Source organism: Homo sapiens, chromosome 5 (assembly GCF_000001405.40).
Source record: "Homo sapiens chromosome 5, GRCh38.p14 Primary Assembly".
Taxonomy (NCBI): Eukaryota; Metazoa; Chordata; class Mammalia; order Primates; family Hominidae; genus Homo; species Homo sapiens.
Window position 1 is genome coordinate 50,973,472 of NC_000005.10, and position 19,556 is coordinate 50,993,027.

The window sequence follows — 19,556 nt, forward strand, 5'->3', positions numbered from 1 at the left end:
TTGTTGCAGGATTAAATTAGATAACCCATGTAAAGGATTTAGCCAATGACTGGCACTTAGTACGTAAAAATGTATTAATTGTTGCAAGTTTTAGCAGAGATGTCCCCTGGCTGAAAGTTTTAAGGGATGGACTATATTGACACCTGTTTCCTTTGCCTGTGCCTAATTGCTTGGAATTCTTCCTTCTTAATCACATATTTAGAATTATTTTTCCCTAAAAACATTTCATTAAAGTTGTTTATGTTCAGGGATTTAACATAAATGTAGAGATTGTTGCTTTTGCTGTGTAACTCTTTTTACAAATTATTTTAAACAAAGTTAAAATAAGGTATAATTCATCATTGATCTTTTGGTGACCTCATTTTTTTGCATGTCTCTGCTCACAGATATTTTTACTAACCCCTTCCATTTCTTTGAATCCTGGAGTTAGAAAACAGCCCTGAAGATCAAAGAATTGTAGATCATTGAATTTTCAACTATAAATGAATTTAGATATAGTGGGTTTCTAGAACCTAAGCCAATTCTTTATTCATCTGTGGTAACTAAGCTATTTTCTCTTTAAATACTTTTACAAAAGTCCCTTTAAAAGTATACCTGAATTATATCTCCTAATTTCCTCTACTTCACAGGGTTTTTCAGTCCTCTTAAAAATGCTTTCCTGTTAGTAAGTAATAATTTCTTCTTATATATTGCATACTGGCTCTTCTCTATTATCTGATGCTTCCTTTAAAAAAACAGATCCTTTGCATTTAAATACATTTCCTCTAATTGCTATGAATTGAAGTGAAACATCCTAGTTATCTCTAGATAATTGTTTATAGATAGATTTGTTTTTGCAACCCATCAGAACTACAGTCCAGTGAGGATTTGTATAAGAACTTATACATCATCATTTAAAATATCTCAATTTCGCATTTAAGTGTTACAAACAATATTTGAATGACTATTATTTGGACAAATTATATCTGGACAAATTATCCAGATGATTTGTTTATGACCTACCTGTTAAATAAGTCTTGAATACCCTGCACTGCTGTAACTGTGATAACTTTAACCCCTTCCCATGTCTTCAATGAATTTCAGAGCAAAGAAGTTCTTAGTTTTATCATTATTGATTTTTCCACCTTGAGTATAATTTTTACAGATTAGTCAATGTACGTAAAATGATTTTAAAAGAGCCATAAATCAAAAATCTGAGTATTTGGGCTGGCTCTATCATCATAATTTACTGTGTGATTATAATAAACCCCCCAAGTTGTTTCTCCTTATTTATTCATTTGTTAAACGAGGATAATACTTCTTTTTACTATAAAGGTTTTGTGATGTGTGTGTGGGTGTGTTAGCCAGTTCAGGCTGCTATAACAAAAATATGATAGACGGGTGGCTTAAACATAGAAATTTATTTCTTACAATGCTGGGTGCTGGGAAGTCCAAAATAAAGGTGTGGGCAGATCTGGTTTCTGGTGAGGCCCACTTTCTGATTTGCGGAGGGCCATCTTTTCCTTGTATCCTCACAGGATGAAGAGCAGCAAGAGAAAGCAAGCTTTCTTGTGGGCTTCTATAAAGGCAGTAATCTCATTCAGAGAGATCCATTCTCATGACCTAATTACCTCCTAAAGGCCCTGCCTCCTAATACCATCACATGAGAGGTTAGAATTTTAACATAACAATTTTGGGGGGACACACACATGGCTCTGTGTGTGTGTGTGTGTGTGCACGTGTGCATGTGAGAGGCTGAAGTTAGACCCTGTAATTTATACATCCAAGGGAAAAGAAGAAAAATATTTTAACTGCCTTTCCTGGGCATGCCTTGTTTGGGGCATGCTACATCTATTATTCCATTTTATAGTATCATCACTCACGTTCATGAAGAATATTATTAGGAAAACTATCCAATTCGAATTTGTAGTTCACTACTTTTTTCTCTATCTAATTCTATGTTTGCCAATCAGGTTTTGCCAATCAAATTCCAATATCTTGATTCTGTTCTTTTCCATAATAGCCTGTTCTTGGTTTAGGGATGTGATAGCCTCTCTGATCTCTTGTAGGATGTCAATTACATATAGATTTTGAAGTCCCCATCTGCTCTAGAGACTTTGTTTCTACAGATGATAATACTCCTGACTTTAGAATTGGGAACCTTGCCTTTAAGGTTTTGGCTTTGCTAAAATGTTTGTTATTTTTTGGCTATGTTCTTGCCTTTGTTCTTGAGTGTTTCTATTTCTGTATGGACATATCTTGTCTTTACTGGCTGTAAGGAAGGTTAAGGATTTGTGGGAGGGTAGACTGTGTAAGTAGCTCATTTTCTGAGCTCACAATATTCTGGTTTTGTCTGGGTATCACCTGTCAATAGGATGCAACGTCGTGTTTCCAACCCAAGCATCAACAGGCACTGGTGACAAATATTTCTGCTGTCCTGTCTTGCCACAAAGACAATAGGAAGACTCCTTTCCCCAAATCGTTTGCCTGAATCTTGCTTCTCTTGTTTCTGAAACTGGAGCAGACCTGAAACTGCTTTCAATATTTGCAACAGTTTTAAGCTGTGCTTCTCTGGACTGCTTACCCACTTGGTTCTCAAATGCCCCAGGTGCCACAGCAAATTCACACGGTACCATGGGATATTTAAGCAATACAAGAGAAACAGTGGTATTCACCATCTGTCAGACACTGCAGGAACTACCAGTGAAACAATCAACTCACAGTTTCAACATTAGATCATGCTACATTCCTTTGGATGATACCATATTTTTGTGAAGCTGATATTTTAGAGGTTGCTGTGATTAAAAAAAGTATCATGTGAAAGTCAATTTGAAACAAGAAATAAGGATGACAATGTCAACTTCCAAGATTCGAAAAGATGTGTACACATCCTACTAGTAAATATTTGTGGTTATTTAAGAATGAATATTTTTCTTTCAATCATATGTATTACCTTTTTAAGTGGCTACGAAGCTTTTAAGACACAAATACTTATTAAGTTGTTTGTATCTAATTACTTAATAAATGGAACTGTTAGGTATTTCTTTTAGCCCCAAGGCATGATTTAAAAAATTACTAAGACACTAAGGGTGGTATAAACAAACAGGGTTTGGGAACCTCTGGCTTTAACCTTTTTCACTGAGGTTTCCCAACCAAGTGCTCTGGTATATGCCCGATAGATATTTGTATTCATAAATGTTGAAACATGATTCATGATCTGATTTGAAAATTTAGAACTTTTATGAAATCATCTCTCTTTTTCTGCATTGAGATTTTTAATAAAACAGTTCTCCCCTTTAGACTTGGGGCAACACTGAAGGTTTCTTTTGGGCAATAAATGGGAGAAAAAATAACCTCTCCATCACTTTTCATTCTGGATTCCCTCAATTTGGCTAGCACTATGCCTAAAAAAAGCACGGGAATTTTTCAACCTTATATTTCTGCTTCTGCAGACTAGATAGTTGTGGGAAGGTCAAATGAAATTATGTTTACACAACATAAAATAATTGATTAAAAATTCTAAATCAAACTGGTTATTGGTCAACATACCCGCACACGGGTATGTACACACACACACACACACACACACACACACACACACAAGCACACACAGCATTGTCCGGCATGTCTGCACACATAAACACAGCCTGACCCACCCACAGGTACAAGAAGACCCAAGTGCCATGGGGCAGAGTTGCCATCACCTATACCATTTGGAAGTTTTCTGGTTTTATGTCAGTGGATAAGATAAAACTTGGGACATATCTTGGTCCCTGCCCTTGGCTATAGCCCCATTTCTCTTTAGGCTGCTGAAATGCCTGAAATCAGCTCCATTTTTTCTCAGTGAATTGTCCAGTGGTACTAATGATGCATTGTTTTATAGGAACCTATTAGTTTAGTTTACCAGATGAATTTTAACAGAGAGAACCCTGAGCACAGAGGCAATGGAATAGGTAAATTTTAAGGGGTGAGCAGGATGACAGAAAAGTTTTGTGATTATTTTCACGTGAGGAGATTAATGAAAGAGCCATGATCTGTGAAGCCTGTACCTCCCAAGTACAAGAGTAGCACCCAGGCATCCTAAAAGTAGATTTATGAAAAATAGAAGTGATGCGTAAACCTTAGCTACGTCAAGAGCTGGCCTGGTGTGAATTCTGTGTCTCTTTGGGTTTATCCTTCAACTCCTACATTCCTAACCATCCAACTAACTAGGCAAGTAGAATCTGATCCTTCATAAGAACCCTACATCCCAAAGGGCCATGAGATGAAAGCCCTCTCTAGTACCTTCAGAACTCTCAATAGAATTACTCCAAACCTTTTATATTGACAATCCAAATCAAGTTCCAGAAATTTTGCAAAGAAGAGAAGAGTAAAACCCCATTACAGAAATTGGCATCTCTAAGTTGGAATTTGCATTAATTCAAACGGGATCCTCTCTGAGTTGACCCATTATTAGCAAACAATACAAGTTAGAGTAATAGTCTACATAGTTTCAGTGAGAAGAAATGTGGAAAACTTAAAAAAACAAAATGCTTGAGAATATCCTGGAGTTCTTCTTCAGTCTGCATTTTGTTGATCTAATCAAAGTTTGTATGCTAAGTCAAACAATAATTTAAAAAAATGTATAATGTGATTACAATTTCCACTATTTCCGCTCCTTCTTGGAAGGCAGATTGTTGCCCTATTGCTCTGAAACTAGTGGGGGATCTTGATTGATAAGAAAAATTCTCAATTTGTTAGCATAGTTTGGTCCACAAGTACTTTAGAGATGGAAAACTTGAATATATTTACATAAGGGACACTTACACGTAAGTTTCCTAGTTTGGCTTATATGATTGGTCATGCACTTTCGAACTAAAAATATAAATCAGTGAATAAGTTCAAAATTTTCCAGGTCATGCTAGCTGAAGTGTTCCCAAACTGAGATAGTAATCTTGATGATAAGCCCAGTTTGGCAAGCTCAGTTCCATATGTTCCATTTCTTTTTTAAATATTTGATTTCTTAGAACTTGGGGATGAGAAATCTCTCACTTAAAATGTAGTTATTAGACAAATGACAGACTACTTTGTAAAGAAATCCCATTGTTGCTATGCTTCATAGCTGTCAGCAGGTTGAAGTATGCTGGGGTGAGGTCCTTGCTGTGTTTGAGCTTGTGATTCACTATTTAGCAAATAGAATCATGTCCCTATCATTGCAGCATTGCAGAAAAATAACTGCTGAGAACAGGGAAGAAAAGTCCTGGTTTTCTTATTCTGAGGTAATTTTCGTTTCTAGAAATATGGATCTGAATAAGAAAAGTAAGTGAGTCAGTTGCAAATGAAAGATGATTGAAGTACTACTCTCGTTTTACAAAACAGACACATTTTGGTTCATCTTTCTCTTCATTCTGTTGCACATCTGTTTTCTTTGTCACATGCATACCTTCTTAGTCTCCCCAAGTGACAATTCTTTCTCACTACCAGTGATATTCTTATTTGGCCAACGTACAATGGCACGTTCCATTGGTAAATGTTATTTTGGAGATGAGGAAACTGAGACCAAAGTAGGAAAGTCTATTATTCATGGTCACACCTAGTTGGTTGGAAACACAGCAGGAATGAGAACCCACTTCTGGCTCCTAATCAAGTTCTCTCTACTGACTTCAAAGCTGAGTTCCTCCTGATGTGATTTCAAAATACCTAACTATTGCTTAAGCTTCAGTTTCAGGTTTTGATATAATTTGACCCTTAAAAGGCAAGTTAGATTGGGTTGATTCATAAACAAACAGCATAAAGAAAGTGATAAATGTATTTCAGAGATAAATATGTTTAATTAGAAAACAAGCATGAGTCCCTATGATAGGAACCTCACTACTTCCAAAGGAAGGTAAAGCATAAGTGTAATTTCTCATGCTCTATTGTTTGGGAAATGAATTGTGTATAAATTGTTCCTAAAATAGCATGACAATTTATTAACATACTTTCAGTGACTTCCAGGAGAGTGTTCTAAGATACAAAGGCCACGTCTGTATGTAATCATAGAATTTATCATTTTAATGTAGTTTTTTGGTAGGACATCTTATCAGGCCAGTTTGGAATGACAGTGGTATAATAAACTATCTTTTTTTTTTTAATCTGTTGTTTTGCTCTACAGAAACAAGCAAAAGTGAAAGGAAAAAACATCACTTAATTGACTCAGTACAAGTGTGCTTTAAATAGTCTCTCCAGAACTGGTTCACCTTTTTTGTTGTTGTTTTGTTGTGTTTTTCAAATCCTTTCCCTCTCTGTCTCTTTTTCCTTTCAATAAATGTAAAACATGATGTAGAATGTACAATTTTAATGAGGTTTCCATTTATATCAACTCATTCCTACCCATTCATTATTTATTTGGCAATTAAGGGAATCTGTACTGCTATTCAGTTTATTTTGTCAACAAGCATTTGCTACAAAGCTACTAATTTTCCTGGGTTCAAAAGAAGTGGAAATCCTGGCATATTCCCAGCAGCCATAACATTTAAGAACTCAAAATGCTTAGTAAATAATATTCTAAGTTATTTACATTTTTCTGTGTGTGTGTGGGAGGGTATGGTTTTTTAGAAATGCAATCTCAAGGTGGCAGAAGCATAGGAGATGCATATAATATACCATCATTATAGAACAAATTTAACATTGACATTTTGATGCAACATCATTGTATTTAAATATCCAGTGACTAGTTCTACTAAGTCAAGCTCCAGTCTTCATTTAGGTATTAGAGTAAAGAATAAGCTTTTTCACTCTGCTCTTCATAAAAGCCTTTTTCAGTTATGAGTGCATCTATAAAAGCCTAAAATATAAGATCTGATTCATTTTCAAAACTGTAAAACTTTGTTCATACAGATTAATTTCATGTATATATGTCTAATATCTCTAAAGTTTTAATAAACTAAACTCTGTATCTTTTATTCCTCTAAGATAATTCAGTGTATTATATTCTGAATGACACAACCAAAGAACATTTGATAAAACAAGTTTTATGTGTTATTTATGAGGAAGACACTTAAGGATTTAAATAAGACTTTAAAATATTTACATTTTTACTTCTGACTTTTTGTTTCACATTTTAAGAAAATTGGACTTTTCTCTTATATTTGATGTAGGTTTCAAACTTTAGATTTATATTTCAACACCTCACAACAAATTTTGTAAATATTCGGTGGGGGCTTGGCCTGAAATATAAACACTTCTTGCTATTGAAGCACTGAAGAAAAGCAGAACCCCTCATTTATTATGAGACATCCAGAAGACTAAAGAGATTTTGAACTTTTTTTTTCTTTTTTCTGGAACATCTTCTTCAACAAGAAAAATGAAATGTCATCATGCTAAGGTGAATCATAATAAATGTTATGTCTTGTCTGACACTGAAAATAAATCCAAGTAAGTTAGGAGAAATATTGGTGGCTTTTTCCCCCATAGAGGTTTAGATCAGCTTTATAAATTAAACAGTATGCGTCGACAGCTCAGGGCAGTAAGTAAACTATTCAGTAGATAATCTCCATAGAAACAAAAAAAGTTTAAGCATCTCAATCTAAAATAGCACTTCTGGAATCAGCAGTTGAATATAACAGGAGCAAATCCTTCCTTTCTTCAAACTAGCAACAAAATTACCTTTTGTTTAAAAAAGTTCAATATAAAATAACTTAGAAGAATCACATAGGTATTAATGGTTGTGGTGGTAATCTCAATATAAATTTTTCCTCTGAAACTGTCTGATAATCTTTGCTGACTTTCAGAGAGTACTGCTTGTTTACCAGACATTTTTCTAAGCATTTTATGTATATCAGCTCAGTCAGTCCTACACCAATGAAAGGAGATTCTTTCTATTATCCCCATTTGACAGATGAGGAAACTGAAGCACAGAGAGTCAATGACCCTATGTAATTGGTGAAGCCTGGGCTCTGTGGTCTGCCATATTCACGATGTAAACCACGGGGCTTCCCCACGGCACAAACCTGCATGAACATTTGTGTCGGTTTTTTGTGGACAAGGAGACAATATTATTTTGAATGATAAAACCTTAACTCAGTTTTAATCCTCCATAAATCTCTGGTGGCATAATTTAACAGATATTAAAATGTATATTCTCCAACATTTACCTGCATTTGAGCAGGGGTCCCCAACCCCTGGCTATGGCCTGTTAGGAACTGGGCTGCACAGCAGGAGGTGAGCAGTGGGTGAGCGAGCATTACCGCCTGAACTCCGCCACCTGTTAGATCAGTGGAAACATTAGATTCTCACAGAAGCGCAAACCCTATTGTGAACTGCACATGTGAGGGATCTAGGTTGCACACTCCCTATGAAAATCTAATGCCTGATGATCTGTCACTATCTCCCATCACCCCCATCTGGGACAATATAGTTGCAGGAAAACAAGCTCAGGGCTCCCACTGATTCTACATTATGGTGAGTTGTATAATTATTTCATTATATATTACAATGCAATAACAATAGAAATAAAGTGCACAATAAATGTAATGCATCTGAGTCATCCCCAAACCATGCCCTCTCCCTGGTCTGTAGAAAAATAGTCTTCCATGAAACTAGTCCCTGGTATCAAAAAGTCTGGGGACTGCTGCTCTAAAGTTGGCAACTGCCTGATATGCACATTATCTCCCCCTCCTTTGGTGATAAAGGACTGTAGAATATAGCAGGAAATCCTGTAAATTGTGAATGGCAACAAGCATAGATTAGTTTCTGTGTTTGTTTAGCTAGTGTAGAGTACTTGGTTTCCCTCCCAAAATTCAAGCCCACCTGGAACCTGTGAATGTAAATTATTTGGAAATAGGGTCTTTGCAGACGTACTTTAAGATGAGGTCATGCTGGAGTAGGGTGGGCCTTAAATCCAATGTGACTGGTGTCCTTATAAGTAGAGGAAAATTTAGACGCAAAGACACTTGCACACAGAGGAGAAGGCCATGTAAAGAGAAGGCAGAGATTGGAGTGATGCAACTATAAGACAAGAAACACCAAGACTGTCAGCAACTATTGGACATCTTGATTTTAGACTTCTAGCCTCTGGAAATGTGAGAGAATACATTAATATTGCTTAGGCCATTCAATCTGCTACACTTCATTATGGCAGCCCTAGAAACTAAGACAACTAGTAATTAGCATCCATTGCCACCAGAAGAGTACAAAAACCTAAGGAACAAGTACAGTAGGCAGATTTGAGTGGTACTGCCTGGGATTGCTAAAATGTCTCAAATTGAACTATGAGTCTGAAGAGCACTGGCACTTAGAAGAACCCAAATTAAAAATGTAGGAAAGGTTTTAGAAGAGTAAATCCTCAAGGGAGAACTAAAGAGGCACTAGCTCGAAGCATTTTCAGCCTCACAATCCTAACTAGGGCATGTCTTACCAAAAAATAGAAGTTTGCAGAGAATTAGTGAGCTTCACTTTACCCCTCCCCTCCCCTTGTGTAGAAGCGTTCTTCAAAGGTGCACTATTATGCTGACACAGTTTACTAAATTAATCAGAGACAGTGACAATGTCTTTTTCATCTCTGTACTGATACTACAAAGTGCATACTACCAGACCAGGGCTGGGACCAAATCTACACACGAAAATCCCTTCCTCTCTGCTTCTGTTGCCTCTGACATGTGTTTCTCATTGGATAAAGCTTAATCTGCATTTGGAGAGAGGCTCATTCAGATGTTTCTTTAAAAATCAGCCTAAGTACTGTCCAAGGTTTGACCATCAGATACTATGCTACTGAATTCTAGGAGCTCTCGCTGCAGTTTCACCTTTTCCAGGTGGGCCAACATGTTGCTGTAAGGTTTGTAATATTTTCGCTCTTCTTCTTTCCTTCTCCCTTCACTTGCCATAGGTATCACTTTTTTGTCCAGAATAGGTATTCAATATTTATTTATTAAGTAGTTAATTATCATAAAAATATGCCAGGCATAATTTTTAATCTTAGCAATACTGCAATGAACAAGATGGCCTCTGCTCTTAAGGCACTACTGCCTGGTAAGGCAGACTGACACATAAAAAGGCAATTATAATTCAGTGGAATAGTGTTCGAATGGAAGAGAATAGTGGTAGGAGAAACTTTCCTCTTGGAGGAGCTGGGTTTTAAATAGAAGTGAGCCCTTTTTGTCCATTTCTCTCTCGAATTGAGATAGAAAAGCATGTGAAAGACAACTTAGAAGGAAATACAAATGGTTATTAAGCACACTGTCTTATTTCTTCCAAATATACTATAATTTCCGTAACTATGAGCTCATAATGATAAAATTTTAGTCCTTATAGCTGGTCATAGAAGATGAAATTTTTAAAGAAATGGATCTTTTTTAAGTTTTCTTAAATAGCTTGAAATCAGTAACCACTGACTTTGCTTTTTGTGTAGTCAATCTTTAGTCTGAAACCCATTATTTCCTTCTTTGAATTTGGTGAGAAGTCATTTTGGTGGAACCTTAGCAAACCCTTATAAAGTATCACTCTATGCTGAATTTAGTCTATGGAAAGACATCAATCAACAAGACAGAGAAGTTCCCTGCCCTCTCAGCAGCTTGCTGTCCTAGGAAAAGAAAGAATTGTCTTTCTCAGAGAATTACTTGCATCCTCATTTGAATTGTGCCCAAAATTTGCTAGAGGAGATATAACCACAGCTATGAGATGGTTTAAGGTTATTCCACCACAAAGGCAACAATGGTTGGAAATGGAAGTTTTCTGGTTGTTTTTGTTTACTTGAAGTCAGCAAGCACTTGGCTTGATATAACCTCTACCCTGATCGCCAATAGAATTTAAACCAAGTGGTGGACTTGGCCCAGTCTGTAAATATTTCAATCTCTGTAGATGCAAAAGAAAGAAAAAAGAAAAAAAATCCCAATTAAAAGCTCAAAAGTATTTAGTTACCTTCTTTTGAGACTTTAACTTTAATCCTGTTTATTACTCTTAAACTATTCCAGAGCACAGTATTTTTTATTGGTGACAGATTGCCCAAACCATTGCCAGTGACCTAATCTCCCTCAGCAGACATGACTGCATACTGCGGAAAGGTGTTCTCTTGAATGAGAAAAAGGTGAGTGTCTCTCTTATGGCAAGTGTACCACTCTTTGTTACCCCAAATATGTATTACGGGTTCATGCAGATCTATTATGTGTCTCATCAATTTTCACTTAAAATCTTGGCATTGGATGTGGCTCGATATGCAGTCATATGGCTTAATTCTCTGAATCAGTTCCTCCTTATGTTTTGTTGGTGGAAATTTGGTATTTGGTGTCCTAAGTTATTTACGACATGTGATTTGTGGTTCTAAGAAGAAGTCTAAATCTAGATCCCTAGCTTCAAAAGCAAGTGTCAGAAAAAAAAGGCCCTATTTTTAACTTCCCTAATCACCTCACTGACCTTTGTACCTCAGTTTTCATGTGTATTAAACAGTACTATTCATAGCTTTGCTTATGTATGGAGTTCAGATGAGCGCCTGCTCATATAAGATAAGGGTTAATTATTGCTGTCAAAGATAGTGGCAGGATCCACTGGCTTAATAATCACATTTTATTATCTCTTTCTTTCCCAGCACTTCATGAGGTAGTGTTCATTGATTTAAATTACTTGAGTCAGAATAAAATTAGTTTAATGTGTCGCATCAGTAAAGAAGCAGGTAATGACAGATTTGAATGAAAAATAATATTAAAGAGTCTATGGGATCTTTCCTGCCTTATCTCCTTGTATATAATATATGTAATCATGTATATGTGTATAAATATATAATCTCTTAATTATTAACATTTCAAAAGATTATTTGGCACTTGCTCTCAATGAGTCCTTGCAGGAACCTGGCACAACAATGTATATAGAGATAACAGGTGATTGACAAAGAATTTTTGAGGAAAAAAATATGTGCAGTTCATGCATATAAACCTCAATCATGTGTCCTCTTACTCCTTTACTAGCTATAGATTGTAAGATGAAGAAAAATGGGGAAAAAAAGAAAGATAGAAATCTTCTGTATCTACCATTCTAATTTTCAATCCCAAAGATTAAAAGGCTTCAATGTTAAGATTGGTAGGGAAATAACTGACTTTAAATTATGTATACATAAATAACATCATAGGGGCTAGAGAGCTTTTATAGGCAGGCATGGTCTACAATACTATGAAACTGAAGTGGCAATGCTTACTGACCAAAGAATATATGAAGGTGAATTCATTCCTTTATAAGCAAAAGGCTAGTAATTTATGATTCTTATACAACCTAGATCAGACTCAATAGTATGTTTGCAAAAGGTTACATTTTGCATGTATGAAATAATTGCGTGGACAGTAAGAATTTTACTTCCATCTGTGCATGCTTTGCTGATATATGAGCTTTGGTAGAAGTTCAACTACAAGAGGTTGGTGGGGTTAAATAAATTTCAGGTAACATCCAAAGCATGGTTAGTTAGAACTCCCCCCCAACAACCTCTTTCCACATACACACCCACTATCTTCTCTCTTATACAAACATTATATATTTGATATTGTCACAATCATAGGTTAAGAAAAAATCTTTGCTACCTTTTAGGAAAAATTCAAAAACATTCGAACACATATATACAAATAACAATTCGTATATTTTTGGACCTACGTATTTAAGGATCTACTAATATTATTGACTTTTAGATTTTTAAGATATGTATCATAATCTACTCAAAGATTTTTAATTTTTCAATAACAAAAGATAACAAATATACTTTCCAAAATTGAAATATTCCAGCAGTATAAAAGAAAATATAATCAAACCTGGGCTTTCACACTAATTATCTAAACTGAGAATTTATTTACTTTACTTTGAGAACAGATGTGATCCATCACGGTAGTCCATAAATACGGTGTCAGAATGTTAGGCTGATCAATGAATATAAATTATTAAAAAATAGTGTAACTCTAAGGTCACCAAGGAATTGAACTTAGTGTTATTTAAAAGGAAGACTTTCCATTCTTAAAAATATATGGGCATACTTAAGAATGAGTGGTTCTATTCTAAACAGAATTTCTAGGCTTCAAAGACAGATTTGTGTTTGCTCATAAGAATAAATGATAATTCTCAGAGTCTCTTTCAGCACCTTCATTAGGGACAATTCTTTTAGAATTCTTACATAATTTTCTGTGGTAATTAAAATATGTCCACATCTGCAAATCCTTTGTTGCTCTTTCCTTTAAAGGTATAGAATGATTTCCCTCTCCTTGAATGTGGGCTATTTATTACATTCAGTCACTCAGCTTTTAATGAATTGAATATGGGGGACGTGATTGTGTGTGACTTCCAGGGCTAGTCCTGAAAGATATCGTCACTTCTGCCTTGCTCTCTCTTGGACTATTTGATCTGAGGGAACCCCAGCTGCCATGTTGTGAGGACACTCAAGCATTCTGTGAAGAGGTCAACACTGAGGGAAACTAAGGTCTCCTTGACAAATAGTACAACTCACCAGACATGTAGGTCAGTGTGTCCTTCAGCCCCAGTCAACCTTTGGATGAGACTGTAGCCTTGGGGGATGTGTTAATTGTAACCTCATGAAAGAGCTAGTTAAGCTGCTCCTGAATTCCTGACCCACAGAAACTGGGTAAGAAGTGTTTACTATGGTTTGAAATTTCCAAGTTTTGGAGGAATTTGTGAATGCAGCAATAGATAACTAAAAAATAAAAACTCATTTATTTATTTATCTGTGCCCATGCAAGGCTGGTGAAGTGGAGGACATTTTTCACCTTTACCAACAGTAGCCTGTGGGCATTAATAACTGTAGAGAATAACTCTATTGGTGGCAGATGAGCAGAAAACATATTTTAGGAAAAGAAGGGTCTTTAAATTGTAATAGGCAGGCTGGGCATAATGTCTCACACCTGTAACGTCAGCACTTTGGGAGGCTGAGGCGGGCAGATCAGCTGAAGTCAGGAGTCTGAGACCAGCCTGGCCAACATGGTAAAATCCCGTCTCTAGTAAAAATACAAAAATTAGCCCGGTGTGGTCGTGCATGCCTGTGGACCAAGCTACTTGGGAGGCTGAGGCAGGAGAATCCCTTGCACCTGGGAGGCGGAGGTTGCAGTGAGCTGAGATCCCCCACTGCACTCCAGTCTGGGTGACAGATCCAGACTCTGTCTCAAAAAACAAAAACACAAACAAACAAACAAAAATTATAATAGGTAAACTGCTGCCAAATTCATAGTGTATAACTTGGTTTTTCTGCTTTGTGCATTGTTGTCATGCTTCTAGTAATGAGACTGCTATCAGTCAGGGCCTATATACTTTTCAAAAGCCTACAAAAATACTTAAACATTTAAAACAAACAAAGATTCCAAAAATTATGAACAAATGAAATGCAGTTAGAAAATAAAAATTTTACATCATGCTAAACTTGAACAAATAAAAAGAAATTACAAAATAGACATTAGTAGTTAATATAAGTTTACAGAATATCACTAACTAACTTCGGCTTAAATAAGCTCTTCTGATTATATAAAAATTATACTTAATGTAGGATGTGTCTGCAAAGTAAGAGTTCTTGGGGCCTGCAAAGGTCCTGAGTGCCTCTGAATTTAGTGTGTCTGTATAGAATAAATTCTATATTTATCTATATTTCTACTTGTGGATGCCCCTGGAACAAAAAAGGAATTACATATTCTTCATACAAATTGAGACTATTTACTCTTTTCTCTTGCTAGCTGATGACAGGCATACCCTTTCAGGAAGTGAGACCCGGAATTTTATGAATGGCAATTATTTAAATGGTGTATCTAAATAAGTACAAGAGAAGTGTTGAAGGGAAAAATGGAATTCTAATAAGGCTTAGTAGTCCTTCTTTCTTTACCTCTCCCTCTTTCCTTTTCTTCCTCACTCCCTTCCTTCCTCTTTTCTTTTTCTCTTTTAGGTCATTAGAGCAAGCATTTTCTGAAGGATTTTGGATGACACATTGCAAGATAAAGTAAAAAAAGCTTGGTAGAAAAGTTTAAGCATGGGCAGAAAGTTGGAAGTATGAGCAGTCATATTTTATTCATTTCATGGCCTGAGGTGAATTTCTTACTTTTGATAATTTTTCTCATCTACATAGTGAAATAATAATAGCTCAGATTTTTATAGAGTATGCGAATACATTTTTGTAAGTCCCTTTGAAAATAGAAGTGTCACATAAATGCAAAGTATCTTGATAAGAATACCACTGAAGGAAATAATATCTCTGAGCCAACAGGGCCTCCCACAAAGGAATTGGATGCCATGTAAGTTTCAGCTTGGACAATAGAGTCCTGTAGTGCTTAGTTTTCTTTATATTCTGATCATAGAAATGTGTCCAATTTTACACACTTTCTTCTTTCTGCTCTTCCACTACTGAAATGGAAATTTGATGAAAGATTTGATAAGTGGAAGAACAACAGTGGCCACATTTGGCTTTGGGGGAATGTAAAACAAAAAAAAATAAACCTTATTCATCCAAGTAGATTCTGGGGACACCAAAAATATTTGTGTGCCTATTTGAGCAGAAATCATATTGCTGTTCAAAGAGAAGGGGTGTGCTCCCAAGATTCTCTGTGAGGAATTTGCTGGTGGCTGTTTTCTGAGGAGGAGTGACAGTTTCACTTTAGGCTGTTCACTAAATTCCAGTCTTCTTAAGAGGTGTGCAAGTTCATGTTTTAGTCTTTGGTTTATAAAAATTTTCAGATAAATGGGCAGCTCTAAGGCCATCTATAAGGCCAAGAATTATAAGATTATCTGTTAGAACTAGATTTCTCAGGTACCTTTTCTGTTCCAAATTTTTTCTTTCCTAGCAATCCATGTAATTAAGAGTAAAATCTGATACTATGTTCATTTGAAGAAATCTGAATCATTGATATTTCTTTCAATTCTAGGACAAAACAAATGTGGAAAAGATATTTTGAGGCATATAACACCGGTATTCTTTTCTCATTAGATATAATTACAGTAGATGTGATTTATATAAATATAATTCAATAAGTAAATGAGTGAGCTATAGGAAAAATTAGTTTTGGTCTAATTTTAGTTTTCAAGACCACTTTTCTGTCCTAGCTATGAGTTAGTTATGAACTTGATTATATGGGATTTTAGGTAAAAGAGTTGCATTTTGTGGTGAAATGAGGTGAAAGGGTAATCAATATGCCATAGGCAGAACTCTACTACAGTCCCCAAGATTCCTGGCCCCTGGTGCATACACATACACACACACCTTTTCTCAGTTATTCCAACACCAATCTATGTACTACTATGAGGGGATTTGCAGATATAATCTAGGTCCCAAATAAGTTTACCTTAAGATAAGGGGATTACCCAGGTGGGCCTGACCTAATCACATGATCTCTTTAAATCTGGATTTAGAGTTCAAAGATTAGAGACGTCAGAGATTTGAAGCATGAAACCAAAGCATTTCTGGCTTGACGATGGGGGTGGCCACATGGCAAGGACTGCATCTAGGTGTCCAGAATAGCCCCTGCTTGGCAGCCATCAAAGAAACAGGGATCTCAGTCCTACAATTGCAACGAACTTAATTCTGTCAACCACAAAAATGAGCATGGATATGTACGTTTTGCTGAAGCCATCAGATGAGAACAGCCGGGCTGACCAAGACCTTATCTTCAGCCCTTGCAGTACCCTGAGCAGAGAACTCAGTCACTTCTGTCCTACAAAACTATGAGCTAATAAATGGATGTTGCTGTAAGCTGCTAAGTTTGTAGGATCTTCTTACACAGAAACAGAAAACTAATACGTGATAAAATTAGTATCACATTTGTATTTAATTTTAGCTCATGGCCACAGCAAGAAAGAACAATGAACTGACTCTTGAGATCGTTTGTTTGATACACTAGCATGCAATCGTTTTTATCTAGATACATATTTGTCATGCTTCAAGCTTCAGGAACCAACAGGAACAATGTAGATGGCATTTTCAGTAATACACTGATCGCTCTGCTCAGAAACGCTATCTAATCAGTGGAAGAAAATCCAACATCTTCTAGGCGGTTCTCTCCCCAAATGTTTCTGAGATGCCCTCAGTTGTGAGGGCTGCGTATGTGTAATCCTGTGGTTGGGTGATTAGCACGGTGGCTTTCCCTCTCAGAGTGTCAGGGCCCCTTTCTGAAATGCCACATTCCTTTATTCCATGCCCACCTTTGTGTTGCTGATCTTGGGCCATGTGCACCGATTGTTAATTTCTTTCAGGCACCTGCCTTTTCCACTGCCTGTGGGGCCCTGTGCAGTCTGTTGCTTGCTCCGAATCGTGCGCAGAACACGCAGGGTGTGATCTCAGGCCGTGGCCTCTGTACTTTCTCTCCCTTCCTTCAGCTTTCACAATGTGCCGCTGGGTCTCTGCAGCTTGTCTTTCTGTTTCTGGCCACTAGCACAAATCTTTTTCTGTTTCGGATGGGAGAGGCAGGAGAAAGGGGGTGATGAAGAGTAGCGCTTCATTGACCTCTAGGGATGAATTCTGGCTCTTTTTGGCATAGCCGTTGACTTCCTCAGAGTGTCAGGCTCTCCAAAAAGATGGGGTCCGGGGTGGTCAGGGACTGCCTGAAAGCCTTTCTACAAGCAACCAGGCCCACCTGCTGAGTCTAGCTCCCATCTGCCACTACTCACAGGGGTTTCCCCCTCAGAGGCTTAGTTTTCCTCTCTGAAATCCATTCAGCCATGTTTGTGTGGGTCTAGATTTCAATGATAGACACACCTTAGTCCTTTCCCATGAACTCCTGGCTTCAGTCAAACCAAGGAGGTGATTGGACATTTATTTGAGTCCCAAATACTTTATGATAGGAATTTGTTCACTAAAAACATAAAAAAGGGAGATGGGGGAGCAGTGTGAGGGCTGGGGTTGCCTAACTCTACCTACAGCTAGCCTGGCTGGATCTGAGGGGCAGTCAAGCTAGAACAACCATAACTCTTATTTAAATAGCATTTCTGAACTTTATCTGTAGACAAGCAACTAAAAACATAGCCTACACCTGGTTCCCCAGTGCAATGTGAAAGACTTCAGAAACTAAAAAATATTTATGAATTGCAAATATACATGCAATTACTAATGATTTCCACTTGATTGCAGTTCTTAGCTTCTAAATTTAGAATTCTAAATAATCAATCATGGACAGACCATCACTTTGTTAAATTTCTGTCACGACAATTAACCAGAAATGAACCATTGTTTTGTTTTGCTTTCTGAGAAAAGGGCATTTAGGAATTAAGTTTACACTGAGTGGATATAGTTGCCTTTGTTGTGCACCTGCAGTGTCTCTAAATGTAAGTAACTTCCATGGATTTAAACCTCAGGGTAAACTTTTACTACAGATGAATTATCTGTTGAGTTAGGAAGTAAAGAGATTAAACAATAAAAGAACCCATTTTACCATTGTGCACTTCCCTATGTGCTTTTGTGGGAAAAATAAATATCATAGGATAAAGGGACAGAAATGGATTATGGTAGAAAATAAATACAAAACAAAATGCAAGTGACTCTTCAGCTCTCAAAATGTCTCTGGCTTGAAAGGCACAGAGTCTGTTTAAGGTGTTCATTGTCTTGAAAGCTTTTTAATTTTTTTTAATTTTTAATTTTTTGAGTACATGGTAGGTGTGTATATTTATGGGTTCCATGAGGTATTTTGATGCAGTCACTCAATGATAATAATCACATCAGTATAAATGGTGTATCTATCATGTCAAGCATTTATCCTTTGTGTTGAAAGCTTTTTTAAAAAACATACATTTTATTGAGATATACTTTATATTAAATACATTATTTTGGCCAATTGAACTTAAAAAAAAAATAGTACCTGGTACCTTTAAAGGCAACTAACAGAGTTAGACTTAGGACTCTATTTAATTGTTTGACCCTTTCCCTGGAAGATAGTTTTGTGAAAGGATTAGCTTTGGCACCTTAAAACTACATTATTCTCTGAAAAATACAGAAAACATTGATGCAAATACTTATTCTTTAGCACAGCTAAAGTAGAATAATCACCTCTATTTTTGTTCATTAGATTACACGTTTAAAAGCTGTATATTAAATACCTAGTGACATTGTTATTTTTCTACTGTTATTCTTGGAAACAATCTTGTGAAGAATTTTTCTTGGCTCCTTTTGAGTTTTTCTTTCTCCCTCAAAATGTATGTGATAATTCATGTGCATGCATTCATATGTATATATTATCAGTTTGAACTGATTACATATTTTACAACCAACTAGATTATGTTGGTCTCATCATCTCACACATACTACCTTACCTCACTCATTACTCAACATACTGGCCCAAAAAGCTGCAATATCACACACAAATGCACACACACACACACACACACACGCAAACAGAATCACACAAAAAATAGAAGCCAAAAGAAATGGTGATGAGGTTTAGAGTTGTCATTGTCCCAGACATTCCTAATACTTTATAAAAACAAAAGTAGTATGTCTAATTTCTGCTTTAGGGTTGTTAAGTTGGATAAAAATAAGTCACCTAATCTTGCAGCTTTACTAAAAGTATAAGAGAAAAAAATGAGCTTTTTTCTTATCATTCATGAATCCAAGAATATTGGTGTGTGCAGTTCTGAGAAAACCCTTTTGTGTCATAAGTTTCAGAGTCTGGTCAATG